Source organism: Homo sapiens, chromosome 5 (genome assembly GCF_000001405.40).
Source record: "Homo sapiens chromosome 5, GRCh38.p14 Primary Assembly".
NCBI classification, from domain to species: Eukaryota; Metazoa; Chordata; class Mammalia; order Primates; family Hominidae; genus Homo; species Homo sapiens.
Window position 1 is genome coordinate 96254033 of NC_000005.10, and position 27913 is coordinate 96281945.

At 37.3% G+C, this 27913-nt stretch overlaps 1 protein-coding gene and 1 long non-coding RNA gene across 13 annotated transcripts in view, besides 1 other annotated feature; both read left to right on the forward strand.

The window, feature by feature from the left end:
- The window catches only part of CAST (calpastatin), an 813255-nt gene that overhangs the window by 292604 nt on the left and 492738 nt on the right, over positions 1-27913 (forward strand). The window lies entirely within an intron of this gene.
- Positions 1-27913, forward strand: part of LOC101929710 (uncharacterized) — a 669085-nt gene that overhangs the window by 292032 nt on the left and 349140 nt on the right. The gene's annotated exons all lie outside the window — the stretch shown is intronic.
- Positions 26267-26316: an enhancer, noted in NCBI's record as "active region_22814". NCBI's record gives its function as "activates an Ori minimal core promoter by ATAC-STARR-seq in GM12878 lymphoblastoid cells {active_cell/tissue: GM12878}" and the evidence as "EXISTENCE:reporter gene assay evidence [ECO:0000049][PMID:35858748]".

The window sequence follows — 27913 nt, forward strand, 5'->3', positions numbered from 1 at the left end:
GGTGGGTTAGCACAGTAAACTGTTGCTGTGAACTCTAATTATTTTTTAAATATGATTTTCAGTTCTTATTTGAATGTTAATGGATTTTAAGTATTTATCTCTGACCTAATTTAGGGTGAGAGACAAAACCTTGGAGACAGCATATATAGAATGTCATGATCTTCCCAGTTGCTTCATGGAAATATTCATATACTGACCTACTCCTCTTACTTTCTCCAGGGCACAAAACTACCATATATATTTTCTTCTTCTAGTATGTCTTAGAATATTATTTCAGTGACTTTATGTTATTACTTATTTCAGAAACAAAATGCAAACAGAAACAATAAAGGTCTTAATCTAAAGACTAAAGTAATTCACAAAGAGCAGGAATAGAAACTAAATTCCATACCTTTTCTCTTTTGACTTCTAATTTTCTTTTCTTCAAGTAGCTTTTATTTCTCTCAATGCTTATTCTAATTCTAATAGCTTATTGCAATCTGTATCTATCTTTGCAATATTCCTTTCTTATTTAATTCCTACTTCCATGTCTACATTTTAAAAAGTGGTTCCTATATTCAGGAGTAATTTATTACTTAGCTCTTGAGAGAGAAAGGTGGCTATGTATGTACATTTTCTTAAAATGTGCTTTGAATTTTACTCCAGGGACAGTGGTTGAAATCTTGCCCAGAGTTATCATGTTAGTTACAAAGTAGACATGGACTGATGTATGACAGGAGAAGAGTTTCTGATATCAGGAATATTTGATTTTATTTTGGAATAGGTGAAGATTGAGGGTTTTAAAAAAATTTCTGTCTTTAAGAATTTCCCATTAAAACACTATTTTTTAAATCTGTATCCAGAGCTGGAATTTTATATTGCTAAAAGTATTACAGCCTATTCTCACTTTTATTCTCCTTTGTCGGGCATATTTGCTCATGTCTAAGTCTTTTCAGTTATTCTTAATCCTACTTAAAATCTTTGGGTGGATTAAAAGTTGCATTTCCTTGTAGCTTATGTTGCAAGCATCAAATGATTAAAAAACGAAGATAATTTATTTTCCTACCATAAGCTTAATGACTCATATTCTGGAGCGGATGGGGGTTGGCAGGGGGAAGAAGGGAGGCAAAGAAAAGTAAAAAGTAAATAGCAGGCATGTTTCAGGAGAAACTCCAGCCAGGGCTGTTGGGTTGAACTTTATCGATGCTGCTTCATGATATGTGTCAAAATAAATGCAGGAAACAGCTTTTGCCTCAAAGCTTGGAATGTTGTGGTTAACTGATATTTAGGTAAAGGAATGTTACAATTGGAATAGCTGGCCTAAAACTCTTCCCAAAACCATCAATTTTATTTATTAAACTTGCTGAAAAGACGAAAAGTGACAAGGAAAGGCACAGATCATTTATTTATTTGACAAGTTTCTCAGAGTTCTTTTCCTTGATAAAGCAGCAATGACGATGAATTTTATTATGCTTAGTGTATGTGTTTGCTTGGTTTAAATTATTTACATATTTACTGTTAGGGCAGTAATAAAACCAGGTCAGTCCAAATAACTTTTTTTTTGTCTTGTCTGTGGAACACTATGAAAGTTGCATTTTTAATGGATGATGACCACAGTTGTTTTTAGGATTCCTGAATGAAGTCATGAAGTCTGAAAAATTTTGGAACCTAGAGTTTTAACTCATGTTACAATTTGAGTAACTGCTTTACAGAAAAGGGCCTGGTCTAATTTTGAGACTGTGGCTTGATTCTCACAAGTTTGATGCTCATTTCCCAAGGATAATATATATAAGCCCATAATTAAGGCTGTACTTTAGTTAGACTTGAGTTGTGAAGAAAGAAATTCAGGTTACTTTAGGGTTCCGTTCCTCAAATCTGGTGTTCTGTGCTATGCTTTTACAGTTAAGTGTGCTACAAAATAAAGTCTTTGGGACCCTCTGTTAAATAGGTTTAAACTTTTTTGGAACAAGATTTCTAAGAGACTTAAATGTGCAAGAGAGCATTCTGACTGAGAAAGGATAAGGCATGTAGCATTTCCAGATCATTAGCAAGCAGTATCTATTCTCATCTCTCAGAACTCTGTTTCTCAGAGCATGGTTAAGGAGAATTTTTATGTATATAAATGTATCACCATCAATAATCAAGGCAGAACTGTATATTTATATTTACATAGTATATATTACATATTATATATAAACTTACATATATATTATATAAACATATAATTTATACAGTATTTATGTGTTTATATGTAATATGTAATATATACTATATAAATATACAGTTTATACAGTATATTTGTGTGATATAAATATACGGTATATAAATATATAAATATACAGTATATAAATATACAGTAATATATATATATACTATATAAATATACAGTTATGCCTTGCTTATTAATGATGATACATTCTGAGAAATGTGTCATTAGGCAATTTTGTCATTGTGCTAACATCATATTTTGTATTTACACAAAATTAGATGGTATAGTCTGCTATGTGGGTAGGCTATATTATAAAACCTATTGCTCCTAGGCTACAAATCTGTACAGCATGTTACTGTACTGAATACTGTAGGCAGTTATAACACAATGCTAAGTATTTGTGTACCTAAACATATCTAAACATAGAAAAGGTACAGTAAAAATATCATATTATAATCTTATGGGACCACTGTCATATATGCAGTTGATCGAAATGTCATTAGGTGACACATGACTATATATAAATACATGATAAAATACATAAATATAATAATAGTATATACAACCTCTTTATTATTTTCCTGTTATTATTTAATCTAAGCCTAATGTTGTATTCCCTCTGCAGAAACCCACATCATAACGGGCCAGCACAGGGAGGGGCACCAGGAATCCAGGACCTGTTGGTTATTTAATTGATGACACTGGCAGATTATGGTCTCTTTTCCATGCATGAGACATGGTGCAGGTCTGCATGACGTCGTCTTCTTTTCCCTTGTGCATTCATAAGACAGATGGCCCAGATGGCGCTGTGATTCATTGTGAAGCAGGAAGGAGATAACGCAGCAGCATCTGCAGTGCTGCTGGGAGGAACACATCTGTAGCAATTGGGTGGATCTTTACTGCCTCTGGGCTGTTTCTCCCTGTGCTTAGGTGCAGGTCTTGATGAAGAAGAGAGTTCTGGGGGCAAGAGCAAAATTAATTTGTATCTTTATCTGAGTTTAGAAGGTTCCTGGGCTCCTGTTAATATACATCAAAGCAGTTCTAGAGTCATCTTAAACTTGCTCAACATTGCCAGTGTGCATGTGTAGAGGGATCTCTGTAACTCTATTGGGTTCTGATCAAATGCATTACAAATAATATGCAGGAATCTTAGCAAGGTTAAACATCCATCTTGGTTGGAAAAAAAAGAAATGTTTTCACTTGGGAGGCTTAAATATATCTATTAGATTATACTGAATTGTTAAATAAAGTGGGGATATCTTGGGATGGAAAGGATAAAAGGCAAGATTGCTGAATTGACGTTGATGTTGACATCAGTTGTTTAAAAGGATTGTTTGGTATTGCACTCCATTCAAAGCCAGATAGGGATAGTAAATCCAGGGAAGACATTCTCATGAGCCTTCTCCTAAGAACCCCACTACTCACCCTTCGTTTGACTAACATTCTGCACAGCAGCAATTTCATGCATTGTTCTTTATTGATTCATTGGTAACTGCTGACCCCAGAACTAAGTGATAACACTGCTTTCCCTTTGGTCAGTTCTTTGTTCATGTATTCTTTACAGTTCTCCGAGGGCTTACTCACTATGGGTAAGGCACTATGCATGGCATCCAGGAAAACACAGCGGCGCACAAGGCGCACTCTTTTTGCCATCCACAGTCGTGTACACACTAAACATACTAAAAACTCTGTGTGATAAATTTCATACAAAGTCATGCAAAGGAAGTGGTTAACAGGTTTGTAGAATGTGATCATGAGTAGGCAGATTCCAGCCACTAAAGGCTCAGCATGGACCACCTTGTAAGTATGCTGCATAAGGATTCATGGTGAGTAACAGCTTAGCCACCTCATTTTTTTGAAAAAAAAAGAAAAAGGAAACTCACATTACTGTATTCTTTCAGGGCTTCATTTTGCAACTTTCATGCACTCTTGAAGTAAAGGCCATGACATCGTAACTTTGGTTTCTTTTCAATAGTTCACTTTCTGAGAGTGTAAGTGGGTACTTGGTGTATCATAGGCCATTATCAGACCTGGACATGATCGTGGGTTTGGTCTGTTGCTCACTGTTTCAGAGGCAGGTCTAAGCTATGCCTCCTCTGTTTCAGAAAAATTGTTCTGTGATTTATGATAATATTTTCATTAATGAGGTTTCTACCTTTTATTACTATTACCTTCATTTTGAAAAAATCATAGTCATTGATCACATTTCAACCATTTTAAGATAAATGCTTTTTCACATTTTAACATCTTTGAAATCAAATGTGTCTTGTAATCAATGGCATGTCATAGTTTAGTTGGCAGCGTTCCTCCTCACCCTTTCAAAATTTTTCTTTAGAGGCACATGCCTCTACCTGTGAAGCATTGGAGACCCACCCCCCACCATGTTTCTGGTACATGACACATTAAAGGAATTCAGGGATGCATGACATTTGGGTCCTACAGTTGTGAGAAAACCAGGTCACTTTATCTGATATCTTGACATATTACTTTGTCCTCTCCTAATAGCATAGATATGATAAAATTGGCTTATGAAGTTATACTGTTTCATAATGAATTCATCTAACATTTAGTGAATGCTATAAAGCATATGTGTTTTTCCCCTATGCACTATACACCATGGCCACATTTGAAGAGTATAACAGGTGAAAAATACAATCTTATATGATGAGTTAATCTTATAAAATGACTAAGGGAGGTGTCATAATACAATATACAAATAAGTACTAAATGAGAAGGTCAGACAAGATAAATCCCAAGTGGGAAGAGGTTACTTTGGGCTGGGAAAAGTTAATGGAAGATATGAGAGGTGAACTGGGCTTTGAAAGCTATAAAAATATGTATGAGTAAAAACAGAGGAAGGGGAAAGTATGTTTTTATTCCCAATTTTTTTAGCATCTATCTTTGGTCGACACAGCTGTACATGAATGCAAAGTGGAAGTGTATTTTTAGATTCAGAGCATGTATTTGAAAATACAGCATACATTTATGAGATTGGCTCTTTTACTAAGAACCAGTTAGAATGTCTGCTTTTCTGGGAATTCTGAACACTTCTTGCTAAATTAGGGTGGCAAAAGAAGACAGCAAAGCACTGACTCACATTTGAGATGGCACAGGAAGGATTGGCAGGGAAGATTTAATTCCAGGGAGGTTTCAAGGGGACTTGCTGTCTTAGATCTGAATGTGAATTTAGTATAAACCATGACTCAGAGAACACTCTTGAACTGAGTAACATGACTAAGCAGTTATCACCTAAAACAAGCTAGCATAGGTCACATTTGTTTATTTAGCAGGTAATTTTGAGGTCTTCTAAATAATGAAGCCATAGTTTTTGGAAGATAGCCTTAGATTCCCCTGTGGTCATGCCACTTATACCTCCGATCACAGTGAGCCCTGTTCTTCCTGAGATAGGGCTGTGGGATGCTGCTACATACAGCACTTAGCTGAGGGGTGAATTTCTGTTCTTAAATGGGCCTAGCTTCCTCTTTCTCTTCTCCTTCGTTTCCTTTCTCACTTCCTCTAACATTTTAGAGGTCAGTTTGAGCATTCCAGAGCAGTTTATCAATAAAGATTGATGCTATTTCTTTACCTTTTGTGGTGCAGTTCTAAACTTTTCAATTGAGCGATGAAGACCCACTCCACAATTGTGAATACTAGATTACATTGCTTTTTTTTTTTTTTAAATTATGTTTTCCATTATCTTTTGGTCTTAATGACTGAAAGCCCTGCGTGAATACTTTTAAGAAGCTTTCTTCTATTTAACAATTTACTCCAGGCTTAGGACATCAGAGTCCCATTTTCCATCCTTTTCTTTTTTTTCCATACGCCAGAGGAGCAGTTCTCAACCCCGCAGACATTAGACACTTTCACAAAATACTGTTTCCTGGGCTCCACCCACAGAGATCCTGATTTATTAGTGTGAACTAGGGTTTAAAACCAGATTAAAAAAACAACAACAAAACTCCCCAGATGAATAGAGAGCCAGGCTTGAGAACCATTGTGTTGGTATTGGAATCTGGTCAGAACTAGCGAAAATCTCTAAAACCGGAGAGCAAGGCTGATCCGGTCTAGAGAATCATGAGGCAGAATTTCTCTAGCAGCTGTTGGAACAAAGACTTCTGTGGATACACAGAACATTCTTGGACCCCAATGCTGAAATTCCCCTAGTTTAAAGATTTCAACATCTTTGTCTGTTTTCTGTCCTTTAGCTTCAGAGTGAACCACTCACTCACCCCTGCAGCTAATGTAGAAAGTACCTTTGTGAAAGCTAAGGAAAGCCATCCATTTCTTAATACATTATTGTTATTTTCTGGGAAATTGTCAGAATAATATATGCATTTATAATGATAACATTGTAAATGGCATCTTATGGACTTGTACAGTGCACAGACTGCACAACCACACCCTGTGGCCCATCATGTTCTTGCTTTTCCTGCTTAAACAAATCATGATCTGAACCAGTGACCTGGAGACCATAGGCATCAGATGGCATTTATTGGCAGGCTGGCCTAGGCATGGCAATTAAGATAAAAGGCAACTTCAAAGTCTGAGATGATGGGTTAGATGATCTCAAAAGGCTCCCTGCCTCATAGCTCTTCCGTGTTGCTTAATTTAGCCCAGGTTGTTTGGGAAATGAATTCAAAGTTGACCAAGTCAGTGTCTAAAAGCTGTGAGTGAATAATATATAAAACTTATGGCAAATATGCCTTTGCCTGACAACCTCGGATGGCTTTATTTGGTTACACAGAGCTAAAGACTAATGGAACCTGCTCATCCTCAGCAAAATTGCTGAGTAAGGGTGGGCTTATTTTGAGATTCCTGAGCATCTTCTCTCTTTTTTTGGTCCCTTTCTTCCTAGGAGTAGACACCAATAAAGAAAGGCATGTGTTTTGCATCTCATTACCTGGCCAGTGGGCTTCATGGATGATTCTCATCTTCCTTGTAGCTGCATTTAAGCAGGCTCTAGTGGTATATCAGCATTGCCCATGAGAATTTCCTACAATGATGAAAATGTTGTATTATCTGTTGTTCTGCCATGGGCAGGTCTATGTAAACCTACTCCAAAGTCTGAGAAAGCTAAGAGGCTGAAGAAAGAGGCTGACAAATCTGTTTTCTGAGAAAGAAACAATTAATAGAGACTTACAAACAGAAGCCATGTCTGTGTCTTGGGTGACAGTGGGACAAGATGATGGATCCCCATGCTATTACCCCCCCATCCAGGGCTTATATACCATAGGGAAAGGCTATACATGATGCAGAAGGGATGTGCAGAACAATTGATCTACAATAACATCAAGATTGTTTGACCCAAGAGCAGGATTTACAGTAAGTACTTGCTGTTACACAAGGAACAATTGGAACTCTTAGAGGCCTTCCTGGAACAGCAGTTAATCAGAAGCTAACATGGCAGATTAGCATCCAAGATGGAATTGCTTTGGCCTCCACATCTGTGCTGTACAAACAAGGTATGTAATAGCTATATGTGGCCTTTCAGCACTTGAAATGTTGCTAGTGGAACAAAAAAAAAGGCCCCTGAATTTTTAATTTTAAATACTTTTAGTTAATTTAAATTTAAACAGCTACATGTGGCTAGCGGCTGCCATATTGGACAGTGCAGGTCTGAAAGATAGGTTTTATCCAAAGGGGGAGAAAACGAATATTTGTTATGCACCTTCCAATTTTCAGGAACATTCTTTTTATGATCACATCTAATCCTCACAAAACCTTTCGAGGTAGATATTATCATTTCCATTTTATAGATTGAAAATAACTGAAACTCAGAGAATCAATTACCCAAGGTCTTATAGCTAATAAATGATCAAATTAACCTTCAAACTTAGGTTTGATTCTAAAGCCTGCACTTGAAGTTTTCTTGGGAAAGTAGTCTTCCTTGTGATGAACTAGAAGCTAAATTCATAATAAAACAATAACAACAACTATTAAAACACTCCCATCAAACATTACTGTATAGTAAAAGTAGAATTCCTGAGAGGGAGTGAAAAGAGAACGTGTGGTGGCCCAGGTCTGAGGCAGCACACGTAGCAGATGGGAGTGTGGTGCTGAAAGTGGGTTGGGAGGGAGGAGAAGGGGGCTGAAGCCACTGCACCGAGGAAAAACAGACTATTCTCACTATAGCTTCCTCAACTTTTCATATGCTGAGTGCTGTGCTCTGTCCTTACTCTGTCCTTTCTTCATGAGATTAAAATCAGGCTTTCATGCCCTTAATAGAGCCAGCAGAAGCTCACTTGCTAGTAGCTGCTTAGGACTGAGTAGAGGTATGTCTGAGGGCTGTCAGCTTCTTTTTTTGTTGTTTTGTTTTTGTTTTTGTTTGAGACAGTGTCTTGCTCTGTCCTCCAAGCTGGAGTGCAGTGGTGCAATCTCGGCTCACTGCAAGCTCTGCCTCCCGGGTTCATGCCATTCTCCTGCCTCAGCCTCCCGAGTAGCTGGGACTACAGGCGCCTGCCACCACGCCCGGCTAATTTTTTGTGTGTGTATTTTTAGTAGAGATAGGGTTTCACCACGTTAGCCAAGACGGTCTCGATCTCCTGACCTCGTGATCCGCCTGCCTCGGCTTCCCAAAGTGCTGGGATTACAGACATGAGCCACCACGCCCAGCCTACCAGCTTCTTTTTAGCAGGGCCCAATCCCTGACCAAGGATAGGTCTTCTTGCTCAACTGGTTTTTCTCTCCACCCCAACTCTTCCTCCTTTATGCCTCAAGATGCCCACAGTTTACACTTACAGCCCCTTCTCCTTTCTCCTATGTCCTGCTATATGTGTGGTCCTTCCCCACGTCTAGTGAATACATTAATCCTCTAGGCAGTAGTTCTTAGCCCTGACTGTGTTGGAATTAAGTGGCACACTTAAAAATACAGCTGCCAGGGATCCATCCCAGACAAACCAAGTATGAATTTCTTGCAGTAGGGTATGGGCGTCAGTATATTTTAAAAGATCCCCAAGTGATTCTAATGTGCAGACAGGGCTGAGAATCCCAGCCTTTGTTGATTTGCCATCTGCCTGTATCCCAGAGTTCTACTGCTTTCATATTTTTAAACCCAGGGCATGAGATAGGTAGATCTGTGGGTGGAGAAGGGTGGGGGTTGTGGGTGGTAAGTGATAAGCAGTTGGACAAGTGGCTCAAGGAAACTGAAAGTGAAGAAGAAAAAAGAAATGTGTCAAGGACCCCACTGAGAGTGACGAGCCATTATGGATGGATGGAGCACAAGAAATCCTGATGAAAGAGAGAGGTCTAGGATAAATTATCAATATGGGATGTTCTCCATTCAACAATCACCTGTTGAGAATTTTTGGTGCCAGCCTCTGCCACAGGGGCACAAAGAGAAAAGAAGGATCCTTACCATGGAAAAAGTTGTAGGATAGCAAATTAGAGAGAGAGAGAGAGAGAGAGAGACTTGGTTGACCAAGTAAAAATAATCCTCATTTAACTACTTATATGTACTGTATTAGTCCATTTTTACACTGCTATAAAAATAGTACCTGAGACCAGGTAATTTATAAATAAAAGAGGTTTAATTGACCTACAGTTCCACATGGCTGGGGAGGCCTCAGGAAACTTACAATCATGGTGGAAGCCAAAGGAGAAGCAAGGCACGTCTTACATGGCACCAGGAGGAGAGACAAAGAGAACAAGCAAAGGGGAAGTGCCACACTTTAGGACCATCAGATCTTGTGATAACTCCCTCACTATCATGAGAACAGCATGGGAAAAACCACCCCCATGATCCAATCACTTCCCATGAGGTCCTTCCCTTGACATGTGGAGATTATAATTCAAAATGAGATTTGGGTGGGAACACAGAGCCAAACCATATCATGGGCCACTTGCTCTTTACCTAGCAAAATTAGCTTTCATACATATCACTAAATACGTGTCAGATTATCTTTGTTGTAAATTGTATTCAATTATAGCAATATCCTCTGTCAATGTCTTCTGAGCCTTTATGTGGTCTGTTTGTGCACAGTTTAAACAAATTAGAGGGAGTCTTAGCGCAATATTCACCTGCAACTTTTCTCATAAAGAGTATGGGTAAAGTAAATGTTTATAATAGTTCCTGGCAAATGTCTTGGTGTAAAACACATTAAATAAGTCTACTCGTATTCTTTATCACCATACTTAATAACCCTTTCCTCTACCACATCACACCTAACTAGTTTTCATTTATAACTATAGCCTAAATCACAGTATTTCTGTGCTCTGATGGGAACATAAATGGGAAAAATGAAAGAAAAACCTCTTTCTTGATAGTCAGGGTCTGAGTTTGTGGGAATGACATTTTCTGTCCTGTGAGCAGCATTAAGTGTGTCTCCATGGCTTTGTGCCTTCTTATTCTCAGCTTCAGCAATAGCGTTCATTTGAAAACTTAGTTTTATTGTGTGTAGTGCTTGTGGTGGGACCCTCTCATGGGAGAAGGGGAAAGTATGGAGGATGAATATTCCTATTCATCCTGTGGGCATTTGACTTCCTCTTTGCACCTTCGTGACATAAATAGCATACACATGACATTAGTTAGTTTCATCTGTTTTTGTACTTCATATAAATGGAATCTCACGTGTATATGCTTTTATATCTGGCTTCTTTCATTTGACTCCATGTATGTGAGATTAATTCATATTTTTGTGCACAATTGTAGATGATTTACCTTCATAGTTGCAGAGTATTTGATTCTGTGAATGTACTCTGATACAGTTATCCATTTAATTGGTGATGGACATTTGATAGTTTTTGATTTAAGGTTATGCTATAAACATTCCGGTCCATGTATTTAGGTGAATGTATGTATGCATTTCTGTTGGAAATATACCTAAAAATGGAATTGTCAGGTAACAGGATATGTATGTATTTGGTCTAAATAGATAATGCTGAACAGATCTTCAAAGTATTTGTACCAAGTTTCCTTTCTACCAGTACCATATGAGAGTTCTGCTCTCTCCACTTGGCCTTTCACATCTTTTTAGATTTTAGGCACTCTGGTATAAGTGGGTGTGTTAGTCAGTGTTCTCCGGAGAAACAGAACCAAAAGGAGGTGTGCGTGTGTGTGTACATATGTGTGTATGTAAATATATATATTTTTAATTTACATATATAAAATTTACTACATATATATGTATACATATGTAGTAAATTCCTTCTATAAGGAATTGGAGACGCAGGAAAGCCAGTGATGTAAGTCATTCCAAGTCCAAAAGACCGAGAGCCATGGGGTAGAGGTTGGAGAAGGCCAGCTGGAGTCCTAAAGGCCTTAGAGAACCAGGAGCTCCAATGTCTGAGAGCAGGAGATGACAGACATCCCAACTTAAGAAAGGAGGGGAAATTTGCCCTTCCTCTACCTTTTTGTTCTATTCAGGCCCTCAATTTATGAATAATGAGGGAAGATCTTCTTTACTCAGTCTCTGATTCAAATGCTAATCACTTCTAGAAACACTCTCACAGACACACCCAGAAGTAATGTTTTACCAGTTATCTGGGCATCCCTTAGCCTAGTCAAGTTGACACATAAAATTAACCATTCCAGTGTAGTACACACTGTGGTTTCATTTTCTTGGTGCCTATTGAAGTTGAAAACCCGTCTTGTTTGTTTGCCATCTACAAATAAATTTTGCTGTTTGTTTTAATGTGGTTATTCCAATAATATATAGACAAATTTCTTATCCTACTTTTTCACTTAGCAATTTTCATTAGTTAAAAAAAAACTGATACGATGTCATGGAAGAATCAAATTCCCATCACTTAGACTAACCTAATACAGTGATTTTCTCAAAATATTCAGTCTCCTGAGAGTAAAGGAGTGGGGGTCTTCTGGTTCCACAATGGCTTTGTAAAAGCAAGCTGGCTTCACTTCTTCCCATATAAAACAAATATACATTACTGAGATTATAACCAGCAATATCCCAGAACTAAAATATGAGGATGAGACAGTTCCCAGGGCCACAAATAAGTGAAAAAGCCCTGAGCAGATGGTAAGAGAATCTGACTTTCATATTTGTAATGCCTCCTCCTAATCTGGCAACAAGAGTGATTAAAAATTTCCCCCAACCCATGGTTTCCACACTAGTAAAAGTGAGATCATAGGGGATAACCAGCTTCCTCATCACCTTGGGTTCCATGCCAGGAGAACTTTCCCTGCTTGAACCCACAGGAAGCATCAGGAGTAACTGAATAAAGAAATATCCCTAAAGAGAGATAAAGGCAAAGGGGAGGGGGGCACTAGTAACCCCAGCCCTGGAAACTCTGCTCTGTACCTGGACCAAAGGAGACACCAAATCAGAGTGACTGTTCAGCAGCACTACACTGTAGAAAGTTCATTCTACAGGTCCCCTGGCTGGCACTCTGTTTACTAGAACTGAAGCAAACCTGGGCTTGAGGCACTATCTAGTGCGGAAAAGGAGGCAGAAACCTAAAGAAAAAAAGAGAAAGATAATCAACAGGTAAATTACAAAGAATCTCTAAGCAAACATATCCAGTAAAAACCCAAACAAGCCAGACAGAAGACTGAAATACATAACTAATTCATCAATGCAATGATATAGATGTACATTCATAATAAACAACAGCAAATAGAGCCATGACCTCTCCAGTGGACACAAAAAGAAACCAGTGACTGACCACAATGAGATGGCAATATATGAACTCTTTGACCAAGAAAGCTAAATAGCAGTTTTAAGGAAACTCAATGATCTCCAAGATAAGGCAGAAAATCAATTCAGAATTTTTTCTGAGAAATTTAACAGAGATTGAAATAACTTTTAAAAATCAAACAGAGATATCAGAACTGAGAAATGCATTTGCTGAACTGAAAAATGTATTAGAGGCTCTCAATAGCAGAATGGATCAAGTAGAGGAAATAATTAGTGAGCCTGAAGACAGGCTATTTGAAAATATACAATCAAAGAGAAAAAATAAAAAAGAATGCAAAGGAATGAAAATCACCTACAAAGTATAGAAAATTGCCTCAAAAGACCAAATCTAAGAATTATTGATGTTCAAGAGGGAGTTGAGCAACAAAAAGGAGTAGAAAATGATTTAAATAAATAATAATGGAAGACTTTTCAAAACTTGAGAAAGAGATAAATATCCAGGTACCAGAAGGTCAGAGAACAACAAACAGATTTGACCCAAATAAGACTGCCCCAAGGCATATAATAATCAAATTTTCAAAAATGAAGGACAGAGAGAGGATTCTAAAGGCATCAAGAGAAAGAAAGCAAATAACAAATAACAGAGCTCCAATTTGTTTGACAACCTTCTCAACGGAAACTATACAGGCAAAGATGGAGTGAGACAACATTTTCAAAGTGCTGAAAGAAAAGTCTGCCATCTAAGAGTATTGTATCCAGCAAAGCTATCCTTCAAATATGAAGAAGAGATAATGTTTCTCCACGACAAAGAAAAGCTGAGAGAATTCACCACCACCAGACCTGTCTTATAAGAAATGCTAAAGGGAAGATTTCAATCTGAGAAAAAAAAATCCCACTAATGTGCAAAAATAAAACATTTGGAAGAATAAAACCCATAGGTAAAATTAAATACACTAACAAACCCAGAATACTCTACTGCTGTAATTGTGTTATGCAATCAACTCATAACTCTAGTATGAAGCATAAAAGATAAACAATAATGGCTATAGAAATCTCAAGATATAGGCAATATAAAACATGTAAACTGAGACAACGTAAAGTCAAAATGTAGGAGGTATGGAGTTAAAGTATAGAGGTTTCTTCCTTTTTTCTCTGTTTCTATTCTTTATGATCTAAGATAAATTGTCATCTCTTTAAAATAACTTATTATATCTATAAGATGTCTTTTTGTAAGCCTCATGGTAACCACAGTGTAAAAACCTCTAATAAATTCACTAAAAATAAAAAGTAATGAATTAAAACATACTACCAGAGAAAATAACCTAGCCACAAAGAAAGATAATAAAAAGGAAGAAAGGAAGAGAGGAGTTTCAAGACAACCCGAAAATAAGCAACAAAATGGAAGTAGTAAGTCCTTACTTATCAATAATAACACTGAATGTAAAAGGGTTTAATTCTCCAACTAAAAGGCACAGAGGACCCAACTGCAGTGGCTCATTCCTATTATCCCAGCACTTTAGGAGGCTCAGATGGGAGAATTGCCTGAGGCAAGAAGTTCGGGCCCAGTCTGGGCAACATAGCAAAACCCCATCTCTACATAAAAAAAAATTTTATAATTAGCTGAATATGGAGGTACATCTCTATAGTCCCAGTTACTTGGGAGGCTGAGACAGGAGGATCCCTTGAATCCATGAATTTGAGGCCACAGTGAGGTATGATTGCACCACTGCACTCCATTTCACCACTGCACTTCAGCCTGGGCAACAGAGCAAGATCCTATCTTTAAAAAATAAAAATAAATCAAAAATAAAAGGCACAGCATAGCTGAATGGATAAAGAAATAAGACCCAAATATATCCTGTCTACAAGAAACCACCTTCATCTTTAAAGACCACATATAGACTTAAAGTGAAGGAATGAAAAAATATATTCCATGAAACTGGAAACCAAAAAAGAGCAGGAGCAGCTATACTTTTATCAGATAAAGTAGACTGATATGGTTTGGCTCTGTGTCCCTACCCAAATCTCATCTCAAATTGTAATCCCCATGTGTAGGGGAGAGACCAAATGGGAGGTGATTGGATCATGGCAGCAGTTTCCCCCAATGCTGTTCTCGTGAGAGTGAGTGAGTTCTCATGAGATCTGATGGTTTAAAAGTGTGGCAGTTACCCCCTTGTTCTCTCTTGCTACTGCTGCTGTGTAAGATGTGTCTTGCTTCCCCTTTGCCTTCCACCATGATTATAAATTTCCTGAGGCCCCTCTAGCCATGTGGAACTGTGAGTCAATTAAAGCTCTTTCTCTCTCTTTTTTAAAAATAAATTAGCCAGTCTCAGGTAGTTCTTTTTAGCAGTATGAAAATGGACTAATACATAGACTAAAAATCAAAGACTATAAAAAGAGACAAGGAAAATCATTATATAACGTGAAAGGGGACAATTCAGCAAGACAATATACAATTATAAATATCTATATACCCAACAATGGAGCTTCCAAGTATAAAAGCAAACATTAATAGATCTAAAGGGAGAGATAGGCTACAATACAATAAAAGTAGGGGATTCGACATCCTACTCTCAGTAATGGACAAATCATCCAGACATAAAACCAACAAAGAAACACTGGAGTTAAACTACACATGAGAACAAATGAGCCTAATTGACTTTTACAGAAAATTTCACCCAGCTGCTACAGAATACACATTCTTCTATCAGCACATGGAACATGAAAGACTCAAATAAATAAAATCATAAACAAAAGGGAAACATAACAACTGAAGCCACAGAAACACAGACAATAATTAGAGACTATTATGAACAACTATATATGCCAACAAATTGGAAAACCTAGAAAAGTTTCTGGGCATATACAACCTACCAAGATTAAACCATGAGAAAATAGAAAACCTCAACAAATCAATAACAAGTATCAAGATCAAAGCTGTAATAAAAAGTATCGCATCAAAGAAAAGCCCAAGACCTGATGGCTTCACTGCTAAGTTACACAAAACATTTAAAGAAGAACTAATATCAGTTCTACTCAACCTCTTTAAAAAAATTGAGAAGGAGGGAATACATTCTATGAGGTCAGTGTTACCCTTATACCAAAACTAGACAAGGACACAACAAAAAAGAAAACTACAGGCCAATATTGCTGATAAATATTGATGCAAAAATTCTCAACAAAATACTAGCAAACTGAATTTAACAACACATTAAAAAGATCATTTATCGTGATCAAGTAGGATTTATTCCAGGGATGCAAGGATGGCTCAATATATGCAAATCAATAAACATGATACATCACATTAACAGAACCTGGAACAAAAACCGTATAATCATTTCAATAGATGCCAAAAAAAGCATTTGATAAATTTCAACATCCCTCTATGACAAAAACCCCCAACAAACTGGAAATGGAAGGAATGTACCTCAGAATAATAAAGGTCATATATGACAAACTCACAGTTAATGTAGTACTAAATGGGAAACAATTGAAAGACTTTCCTCTAAGATCTGGAACAAGACAAGGATGCCCACTTTTACCACTTTTATTTAACATAATACTGGAAGTCCTGGCCACAGCAATTATGCAAGAGAAAGAAATAAAGGGCATCCAAATTGGAAAGGAAGAAATTGAATTACCCTTGTTTGCAGACAACATGATGTTATACTTAGAAAAACCTAAAGACTTCACCTATGGAATACTATGCAGCCATAAAAAGGAACAAGATCATGTTCTTTGCGGGGACATGGATGGAGTTGGAAGCCGTTATCCTCAGCAAACTAACACAGGAACAGAAAACCAAACACCACATGTTCTCACTTACAAGTGGGCACTGAATGATGAGAACACATGGACACATGGTGGGGAGCAACACACACTGGGGCCTATCCGAGGGGGTGAGGTTGGGGGAAGGAGAGCATCAGGAAGAACAGCTAATGAATGCTGGGCTTAATTCCTGGGTGATGGGATGATCTGTGCAGCAAACCACCATGGCACACGTTTACCTATGTAACAAACCTGCACATCCTGCACACATACCCCTGAACTTAAAATAAAAGATTAAGAAAAAAAAAAGACTCCAAAAATAAACTGCTAGAATGGATAAAATAATTTAGTAAAGTTGCAGGATACAAAAGCAACACACAAAAAGCAGTAACATTTTATACACTAACAGCAAATAATATTTAAAAAAAATGAAGAAAGCAACCCCATTTACAATATCTACAAATAATATAAAATGATCCAGAAGCAGTTTAGCTGAAAAAGTGAAAGATCTATATAAGGAAAACTATAAAACACTGATTAAAGAAATTGAAGAAGACACAAAAAAGGAAAGATATTCTGTGTTCATGGTTTGCGAGAACTAATATTGTTAAAGTGACAATACTATCCAAAGCAACATACAGATTCAATGTAGAAATAGTAAAAAAACAGTTCTAAAATGTATATGGAACCACATAAGGCCTCAAATAGCTAAAGCAACCCTAAGTAAAAAGAACAAAGCTGTAGGCATCACACTACCTGACTTCAAAATATACTACAAAGTTATAATAACCAAATCAGCATGGTACAAGCATACAAACAGACACATAGACCAATGGAACAGAATAGAGAACACAGATATAAATCCATGCATTTACAGCCAACTCATTTTTGACAAAGGCATCAAAGACATACAATGGAAAAAGGACAGTCTTCTCAATAAATGGTGCTGGGAAAACTGGATAACCATATGCAGAAGAATAAAACTAGATCTCTATCTCTCACGATGTACAAAAATCAAATAAAAATGGATTAAAGACTTAAACCTAAGACTTGAAACTATGAAACCACTAGGAAAAAAAAAAAAAAACATTGAAGAAATGCTCCAGGACATTGGTCTGGGCAAAGAATTTTTAGGTAAGATCTCAAAGCACAGGAAACCAAAGCAAAAAGAGACAAATGGAGTTATATGAAGCTAAAAACTTCTGCACAGCAAAGGAAACAATTAACAAAGTGAACAGACACCTCACAGAATGGGAGAAAATATTTGCAAACTACCCATCTGACAAAGGATTAATAAGCAGAATATATAAGCAGCATAAACAACCCAATAGCAAAAAAACAAATATTCTGATGTTTTAAAATGGACAAGAGATCCGAATAGACATTTCTCAATAGAAGACATACAAATGGCCATCAGATATATTTTTTAAATGCTCAACAGCACTAACCATCAGAGAAATGCAAATCAAAACCATAATGAGATATCACCTCACTCCAGTTAAAATAGCTTTCATAAAAAAGGGGGATAACGAATGCCAACAAAGATGTGCAGAAAGGGAGCCCTAGGACATTGTTGGTGGGAATGTGAATTAGTAAAGCCACTGTGGAAAAAACTCTATGGAGGTTCCTCAAAAAACTAAAAATAGAACTCCCATATGATCCAGTAATTTCACTACTGGGTATGTATCAAAAGTAAGGAAATCAATATATTGAAGATATCTCTGTACTCCCATGTTTATTGTTGCAGCACTATTCACGATAGCCAAAAGATCAAATCAAGGGAAGTGCCCACCCAGGGATGAATAAAAAAATGTGGTACATATACACAATAGAATATTATTTAACCATAAAAAGAATGAAATCCTTTCATTTGCAGCAAGCAACATGGGAACTGGAGATCATAATGTTAAGTGAAATAACGGAAAGACAAATATTGCATGTTCTCATTCATATGTGAGAGCTAAAAAAGTGGATCTCATGAAGACAGAGAGTAGATAATGGTTATGAGAGGCCAAAAATGGTAGGGAGAGGGGGGATGAAGGGAGGCTAATTATTGGGTATAAATATGCAGTTTGATAGAAGAAATAAGATGTAGTGTTTGATAGATCAGTAGGGTGACTATAGTTTATAATATTCTATATTTCAAAATAGCTAGAAGGGAATAACTCAAAGGTTTCTGGCAAAAAGAAAAGACAAATAGTTAAGGTGATGGATATTCCAATCACACTGATTTGATCATTACAAATTATATGGATATATGCAATTATTTCATGTAGCCTCAAAATATCTACATCTATTATATATCAATAAAAAAATAAAGAGAATGACTTTCTGCCAAGCAAGAGGAGGATTTCATGAAAATCAATTATTTGATGTATAATAAATGTGAACAGGTTCAAGGAAAATAATGCATTGCTTTTAAGTATTTGAATAGCTGATATAAATCTTTAGACGAGATAAAATATTTTACACCAGTATACCTTCCTTAAATGTCAGCCCTAATGCTAAGAGAAGGAACAACCCTAGAGAAGAACTTGTCTTGATGGAGTTTGTTTTTTAAATGAGAACACTGTTCTAGGGTTGATATGACGTTGATAAACTTGATGTAAATAAAATGAGCTATTGTTTAAGATAACTTTTCTATTATTGGAATTCAAGGCTGCCAAGCTGTTCTGTGAAGTGCCATCATGGAACTTCAGAGAAGTCCTCCCCAGTTAGGTGAGCTGGATAAGCTTGTTAACCTAGCCAAGAGATTGGAGCATTTGAGACTGTGCAAAACCACAGGGGCAGTGTGACAGTTGAGGAAAGAATATCTAGAGAATAGCAGGAGTCAGAGAAATAGAATATCTAGAGAATAGTAGGAGTGAGAGAAATATAAGTAAGACTGTATCTCAAGTTTTCTCTTCTAAGCAAATGCACAGTAGATTTATGGCCTGTCGATGAATGACAAAGGTATATAGAAGTATTGGCTTTCCTTGTTGAAGAAAAAGGTTTTAGTTGGTTATATATTGCTGACTGAACCTTCTTATACTTTCAGGCATGTAAGATTTAAACTGATCCCATGCCTTTTCAAATTGCTTGCGTAGATATTTTTGTATGCAGAGAATATTTTAATGAAAATATCTAATTCAGGAACAGTTTTCTCAAAGCTGGAATTTCTTTACACTCTTTCATTTACTGGACAAGAGTAAACACAATGTAGATATCTCTTCACTGGTCTGTTCTGATTGCTCGAGTATCTCCTGGACTGGCCTTAGCAGTAAATAGATCAGTGAAGTACTGACAGGGCACCGAGGCTTGATCATATACCAACACATCCCTGTGCCTGTCATTCCTTAGAGCTTTAAAGGCTTTGCCGTTTTGGAGTTGCCTTTTAAAAATGCATATTCACCTGGGAGAGGACACACCTGAAATTTTTATTATTTGACATCTTAGCAAGAACTTGCCAAAAATAGACCCTGCTTGGGAAAAGGGAGATGGAAGGGATGGTGTGAGAGAAGAAATGAGTTAGAGCCCCAATTTTTTTTTTTTTTCTTTTTGAGACAGAGTCTTACTCTGACGCCTAGGTTGGAGTGCAGTGGCGTGATCTTGGCTCATTGCAAGCTCCGCCTCCCGGGTTCGTGCCATTCTCCTGCCTCAGCCTCCTGAGTAGCTGGGACTACAGGCGCCCACCACCATGCCTGGCTAATTTTTTGTATTTTTTAGTAGATACGGGGTTTCACTGTGTTAGCCAGGATGGTCTCAATCTCCTGACCTTGTAATCTGCCCACCCCGGCCTCCCAAAGTGCTGGGATTACAGGCACGAGCCACAGCTCCCAGCCTAGAGCCCCAATTTTATAGTCCAGTGTCAATTCTGTCCAAAATTTTACCAAAACCATGACTCCTGAAAGGTATGCATATATTTACTCCTTATTCTAAGAGCATCATAAATTTGAGGATGAAATGTATTTTGGAACAGACTTCAATAAATGTGTTCAATTCCAGTTTGTGTCACTATTAAAGTTGCCCTTAGGCCTCAAATAGATTTTGTGTGCGTGTCTACATTTTCACCCATTACATCCCAGAGATGACGGGTGCAACAATGAGAAGAGAGGAAGATAACTGATTAATTATTCTCTTTGTCGCTAGCCTATGCTTATTCTTCTGGTTGGTCAAACCGCTAGGCTCCCCTCTGACACTAAACAGCTCATGTTTCAAGAATATTTAAGAAAATTGTACAACTTTCTTTTTCATTCTGTCGTGGAAATGCCTGGCTCTAATGTTCTGGAGAAACTTGACACAAATAATAAACAAAAAAGAAGGGTCTACAGAAAAGATCACCTGATAAACCTCCAGATCTGCTTGCCTATGCCCTCTTCTCCTTCCAATCTGGAAATGCCTGAATTATACCTTCGTGGGCAGTGAACAATTTATACTTTGAGGAAGGGGAGATGAGGATCTGTTTGATATTTGCTGAAGTTAGTCAATTAACACGTTGAGGTGGTAGCAGATGCTATTCCCTGGAAGACATATTGACCTTTGATTTTTAAAGAAACCAGCCTTTAAAGTTTCAGATAATTGTGTCTGAGATAATTCACAGCTAGTCTGGGGCTCTTGCTTGTTTCGTTGACAGTAAGCCGTATTTGAACTCATCCCCAGATGTACAAAGTCTATTCATTGACTCAATAAGTCACTAATTTTCTTTAAAGTTTCATTAAAAGCAGAGACATTACTAAAGAGCTTGTATTAGTCACAATTTGATCAAGGTTCAGTTAGATATTTGAGGCAAGAATTGATAATATAACCAATGATGTCAAAAAAGGGAGGCTAATACAGCTATGTATTCTTCAATGTTCAGGTCCAACAGAAATTGAAAAATGTGACAGAGTTGTTGGAATGTCATCCAGTTGGCTGCTGTAACATGCTGTAGAAAGGATGGATATTAAATTATTGAAGATAATATGATAGTTTGTGTAAGCTCTCATGTTTTCCCTGTCTCCACCTCCTTTCCCTGTCCTCATATCTGCTATACCATTCTCTGCTCTCACCCCTTTCTTGTAAATAGCACATCTGCTCAAGATATAGAGTTTATTTTGAAGGACACAGGTAATTCAAAAGCTATTTATGTTCAGATATTACTTACCTAATTTACATAGCCCAGCAACAATCAAATACTAGCATGGCAGAATCTAAAATAGTTTGGTCCAGCTTATTAAGTTGTTATGATGCACATTACAGGCTCATTTGCTGTAATTAATTAGTGGAGAGAGGATAGAGCCTCCGCCTTAATTGCTTCTATCTAACAAATGTTTTCGAGGAGATTTCATTTATTGAGAAGAGCACAACTGAGAAGAATACCCGTGTTAAAAGCTCCTGTTGCTCTTCCTTCACTTTACATCCTTTTTCCAAAAGCTATTATTTAAAATACAAATTTTAATCTCTAAGTAGAAGCATATATTGTGATTCTTAGCCAGTGGTCTTCTTCGTGAAACTGATGTTTCCTAACCCACCATGTTTACATGCAGTGTTTTTCTCCCAGTGGTTGCTGGTAGATCTTTGTGCTTTAACTCTCAAATCCTTAGAGTGTTTCAACGATAGATTTGGGAGGAATGATAGGGCCTGATTTTCTCCCTCTCCTTGTCAAGCCACCAGCGCAGAATAAGATGACAAGAATAATTTTGCAGAGTCAAAATAGCCATATAAAAACCCATAGTAAAAATGTACAATATGTTGATATTGGGCCTCTGAACTAGCATTATTATATTTTATGGATATTCATATTTTACATGTCAACATACAAACAGCAATAAGTCTTTAAACTTTTTTAAAGCTCTTAATGGTTTCCAACGTGGCTTTTTACATATGTTATTTTATTTGGTCATCTTTCAAACACTGAAGCAGGCTGGGGCAAAATGTTATTACCTTTCACTTACAAAGAAAAGAACTGAGATTGAAGATGGTAAAAAAATGTGTTCTAGAGGACATAACTGTCTGTAGCAGAGATCAGAAACAAGCTTGGCCTCCAAATGGTCAGCCAAACATATTCCTGTACTCTACTATTGCTGAATATTTTTAACATACAGAAAATAAGTGTAACAGATACTCGTGTATCCACCTCCTTAGATTTAACATGTTAGCCTTTTGTCTATTTGCTTCAGATCATTTTTGTTTGGGTAATTGTAAGGAAGTATTATGAATGCATCTAATATTATCCTTTTCCCATCTGTTTCCCATCCCTCATGCCCATCCTTGGGAATCACCACTCTTCTGAATTTGCTGATAGCATTTTTATGAAGGTTTTCATGCTTTTGTTCTATGTATGTATGTTCATGAGCATATATATTATTTTGTGCTTTGAAAGTTTACATAGATGGAATCATATGTACCATTTTGCAACTTTAGATTGGTCCTGTCTCTTCAGTAGTATGCTTCTGAGATTTATCCATGAAGATCTAATTCATTCATTTCAACAGCTGCGTAGTATTCCATTGTATAAATAAACTACCATTTATTCATCCATTCCTTTCTTATGAACATTTAGGTTATTTTCCATTTTCCCCTGTTTCAAAACAGTGCAGTAAAAATCGTCTTTGTAGTTCTTCTTGGCCACAGGGACAAATTTTTTTCTAGGCCTGAAGGACATGTCTAGAAGTATAATTAATGTGCTATGCACATTTTTCAGTTTTTCTGGGGAGTGCCATATTAACTCTCCAAAGTAGTTGTACTAATTTGTTCTTCCACAAGCAATGTCTAAATTCCATTTCCCCACTTTCTTTCCAGCCATTGGTGTCCTCAGCTTTTATATTGGTTTTTTTTTCCTGTGATTTCATTAGTGTGTGATGACTTCTACTTGTTTTAATTTGATCACTAGTCAGTTTGCCTATCTTTTATATGCTTATTGGTCACTGAGATCTCATCTTCTGCAAATTAGCTGATTATATTATTTCATTGCTTATTTTTTCTATTAAACATGGCAAATAAGGATGACTAAATAAATATTCTCAAGTTTGTCTAAAAAAATTTTAAAAACCAAAGGTAGTGGGTGGGTGGGGATCGGAGAAGCTGTTAAGAATCCAGAAGTAAAATTCTAGATAATATCAGTGTGGAGAAGAGAGGAGTAGAAACTAAAGGGATGTGAGTGTGTGCTAAAAATATAGTCTCAAAATATACAAAACATCATCATTAAGTAAGGTTTTTTTTTTTCCCACCAGAAGTATATGAATGGTCAACATTAGAAAATCTCAATGAATTTCAATGTATTTATAGTCTTAAACATTTAAAAAAATTGTATGTTCATTTCAATTGATACAGGAAAATGATTTGATAATAGCAGCCAGCAGGCCATGAGTGTGGTGGTGGTGGGCAGGTAATGTAATAAGAAATTAACCATCCCCCTTCTCTGAAGGCTGGTGACCTTCCTGCTTACAGCTGTACCTTAACTGGAGGGTGGGGAGTCTTAATTTTGAATTAAAATAGAGTTTTTTTTTTTCAATTTTGTTTTGTCTTAGATTGGGTTTTCTAGAAGCAGAGTCTGAGAGTGGGATTTAGGGGAGAACAAAATTTTAAGGAATGCTCTTCAGAAAAAGTCAGTAAGGTTAGGGATGAAGAAGAAGAAGCCAAGCAAGTATGTGATTTCAGGAGACATCTAGCCTTCCCTCATCTGTGGGGGAGTGGTTTGTATGTAAGTTGCACAGCAGACTGTTCCTCCTAGAACCACAGGCTGGCCTTTTGTCCCTTTGTAATCAGTCTTTGATGTGTGTGTGTGGTGAGGGGGTCAAGATTTACCAGGCAGGATGGTACCTGCCAGCTAATGGCAGTTCTGAGAGAACACTCCGGAAACCATGCCTAGGTAATCTTCACAGCAACTGAGAGATGGGTGTACCTGCCTGGTAAATGGAATGGGGAATGGGGTGGAGAACATGGTAGCTTCTGCCACACTGGTTCATACATGCAGCTGGAATTTCTAGTATCTGAATTAAGGATTATATTTTACAACTTAAAGTGATCATAGGATTTTGTATATCCTAGGTATGCTTAGAAAAAGCATGGGATTGCTTATTTCCATCCAGGGGAAGAGGAAGATGTCCCCTGCCTACGAAAGACAGCAGAAGATAGAAAACAAAAGCAAAATGGCTTTTTGTGATTACACCTCTTGAGTCCTGCATGCTCAATATACCACTTGTGTATACACACACACATGCATATACACATACACTGTGCATGTATGCACATGCATTCATATTTCATCATGTATCATGCCACACACATGCAGTTACATGCATGTATATATACATATGCATAAATACATGCATCCACATATTTCATCTACTATCTCTCATCATATCCTATAGCTTAAAAAATGTTGTAGTCTTATAATGACCATATAAGCAGCCACTGTTAGCACCATTATGTATAAACATTAAAATCTGTACAGCTATTAATGCTATATCAGAAGGATGGATGATACTCATATTTTCTTGTCAGCATTCTATTTCTTTGAATTAGAGAAAGCTGAAAAGAGAGTATTTCTTTTTCTGCCAAATATCTGGAAACACTTGGTCTCTCGGGTGGACTTCCAGCCAAATGAGGATCTCTGCAGGAATGGAAGAAATCACACACTCTGCTCCAGGAGCCTCTGTTTGCCAGGTCACATTGCTTTACTCTGGATTTCTACCATTTGATCGAAGGTCAGTCCAGAGACTTGAGGCCCACTGTGGTGCTGCAGATGGCCCAGTCTTGCCAGGGAAATGTGTCCCCTTGTGTTTTTGCCAGCTGCGGATCTGAAGATGAGATGTTTGCATCTCTAACACCTCACTTTTTGTGCCAAACCAGGCCTGCACTGCAAGGAATCCCCCTGCCAATTTTCCTTTATTAAAAAGATACTCCTTTCCATGCCCAAGAATAATATTATGGAAAAGGATAACCATTTAGCTATGTTTGACCATGGTCCTAAGGAATTCAGCAGGATCCCACAGAATTCCAAACAACGTATTTTTTAATTCACAAGCAAAGGATGAAAGGCACATTAATAGACATGATAAGAACAGAAGATGGGTAATTCTTCTAGAAGGCTTTACAGTGTCACTAGAGCACCATGTATCAATGTTCTGATTAATGTTCTTATACCACAGCTATACATGGTATACTTGCATTATATTTTGAGTAATAATAAAATATGCTTCTTGAGAAGTTATAAAAACTGAGCTGACCATTAAGGATTTGGCATCTTATTTTGCTGTATGGGAAGACATTTAGCATGTGGTTTCACACCCAGCCTGTAGGAGTTCATCCAAGTTCAGTGGTCCTAGACACAGTCAACATCCTCTTCTTTTAGAGTTCAGATAGCCCCACTAACATTCAGAATCTCCAAGCACACACTGCACCATTTTTTTAAAGCACATCCTTTAGCGCCAGACAACAGGCAAACACTAATGAAGTTCCAGGTAGAGGCATGTTTATTTGTTTTCTGTGGTTCAGAAACCATTTCCGTTTGCTTGAATAACACATTGTCTAAAAGCAATTTCCTTTCTGTCTCCATGGCTCCTTGAAATGGTAAATTATTAAAATAATCAGGCCTACTGGTGCCATAATGAACAAGAGGTGATCTCGTATTGGAGGCACTAAGCAGAGAAAAAGATTTTTTAAATTACCGTAAATTCATTCTCTGGTACTCAACGTTGTGGTTTTTGTTGCTGTTTGGTAGTTCCTAATTCCACTCCCCCAGTCCCCACACACACACTCCTTGGTTCCAATATTGCATTATAAAGATGATTCATATTAGGATAAAGTTTTGTCTCTCAGCCTACATCACTTCTCAGGACAGGTAATGAGTAAGAAGAGAACAATGAAATGACTAACAATGAAGTAGAATTCACAAACAAAACTGAATGAAGTTGCTTGAAAAGAAAATTTTGCTTATAGGTAAGTCTCTGTACGGAGAGAGCCAATGCATCCAGATTCAACTGCTAATCAGAAAATCTGGGTTTTGGCCCCTGCTCTGACACCAACATGACTTTGGGTAAGACCCATACCCACACTAAGCCTCAGTTTCCACTTCTGTAAAATGGTAACACTAGTTACTCACTTTGCTTATTTAAGTATCAAATGAGATAATGTATGTGAAAATACTTCATGAACTATGAACCACTTTACTAATATAAAATACCAGTAGAACAGAACATGTGTTAAAGGTAGAGGTAAGATTTTTTTTTTTTTCTTAACTGTTGTCCTTTTGTATGTATTCACACTAACACTAAGCCCCTGTTACCTCAATTCCTACTCCTAACTGGTCTCTGCGATTCCATTCCACCCTTCAAAATCCTTTCAGTCCCTCCTGTACTTTGAAGCCAGGTGAATCTTCCTGAATTATTAATTTCCAGGGAAATGTCTTGCAAGCCTGTGGAGCTCCATGTGGTGTTTAAAATAATAGAAACAATATGCCCATGGCAAAGGAATAATGTGGATGATAATGTAATCCAGATGTCAGTTTAGACCTCTCTGTCTCTTGAGAATCTGGAGATATCAAGATACATTGATTCTGACTCCCAATTCTAGAGCCCATAATTGGTCAAAATAATGTCATATGCATTATTGAGAGCAATACTTCCTCATGGTTGCTGATTCATCTGGACTTTTATTGTTGTTGTTGCAAATGACAGAAACTCAAGTTTTAACATCCTAAGCAACAAGTAAATAGGCTGGCTTATTTAACTGAAAAACTCAAAAGGTAGCATGACTTTAGGCGTGACTAGATCCGGTGACTCAAATTATATTAACAGAATTCTTTTTGTTTTTGCTCTGCCTTTCTCTGAGTTGTCTTCATGCTCAGGCAGTGTCTCTGTGTGTGGTGAACAGTTGATGAAGGCAATGAATTAACCAAGATTAATCAGCAGTTAATTACAGCTGCAAGTAACAGGAAAAATGCTAAGTGGCTTAAACAAGATAGTTTATTTCTCTCTCACATAAGGGTCTAGTTGTAAGCAATTCACGGCAAGTAAGACAATTATGTCCCCCAGAAGACTTCAGCTGCTTATCATTACAGTTTTCTGCCTTGCCATCCCTGGTTCACAATGGAGCTCCGGCCATGATGTCCATGTCCCAAGCAGCAGATGCGCGAGGAGAGAAGTAATGATGAAGGGTACAAAGCAACTGTTTCTTAAAAAAGGTATCTGAAAGCTCTCACATGACATTTTCACTTACATGGCATTGATGTGGCCATATGTAGCTACATTTTCCAAGGAAGGCTGGAAAATGTAGGCTTTTATTCTACGTATTGTGTAAGACCATTTGCCTAGCTGAAACTTTATTATTGTGAAAAAAAGAGGGAACAGATATTGGAGAACAATTAACATCTTCTGCTAGTAGAAATTCTATTAGCTTTATCAAC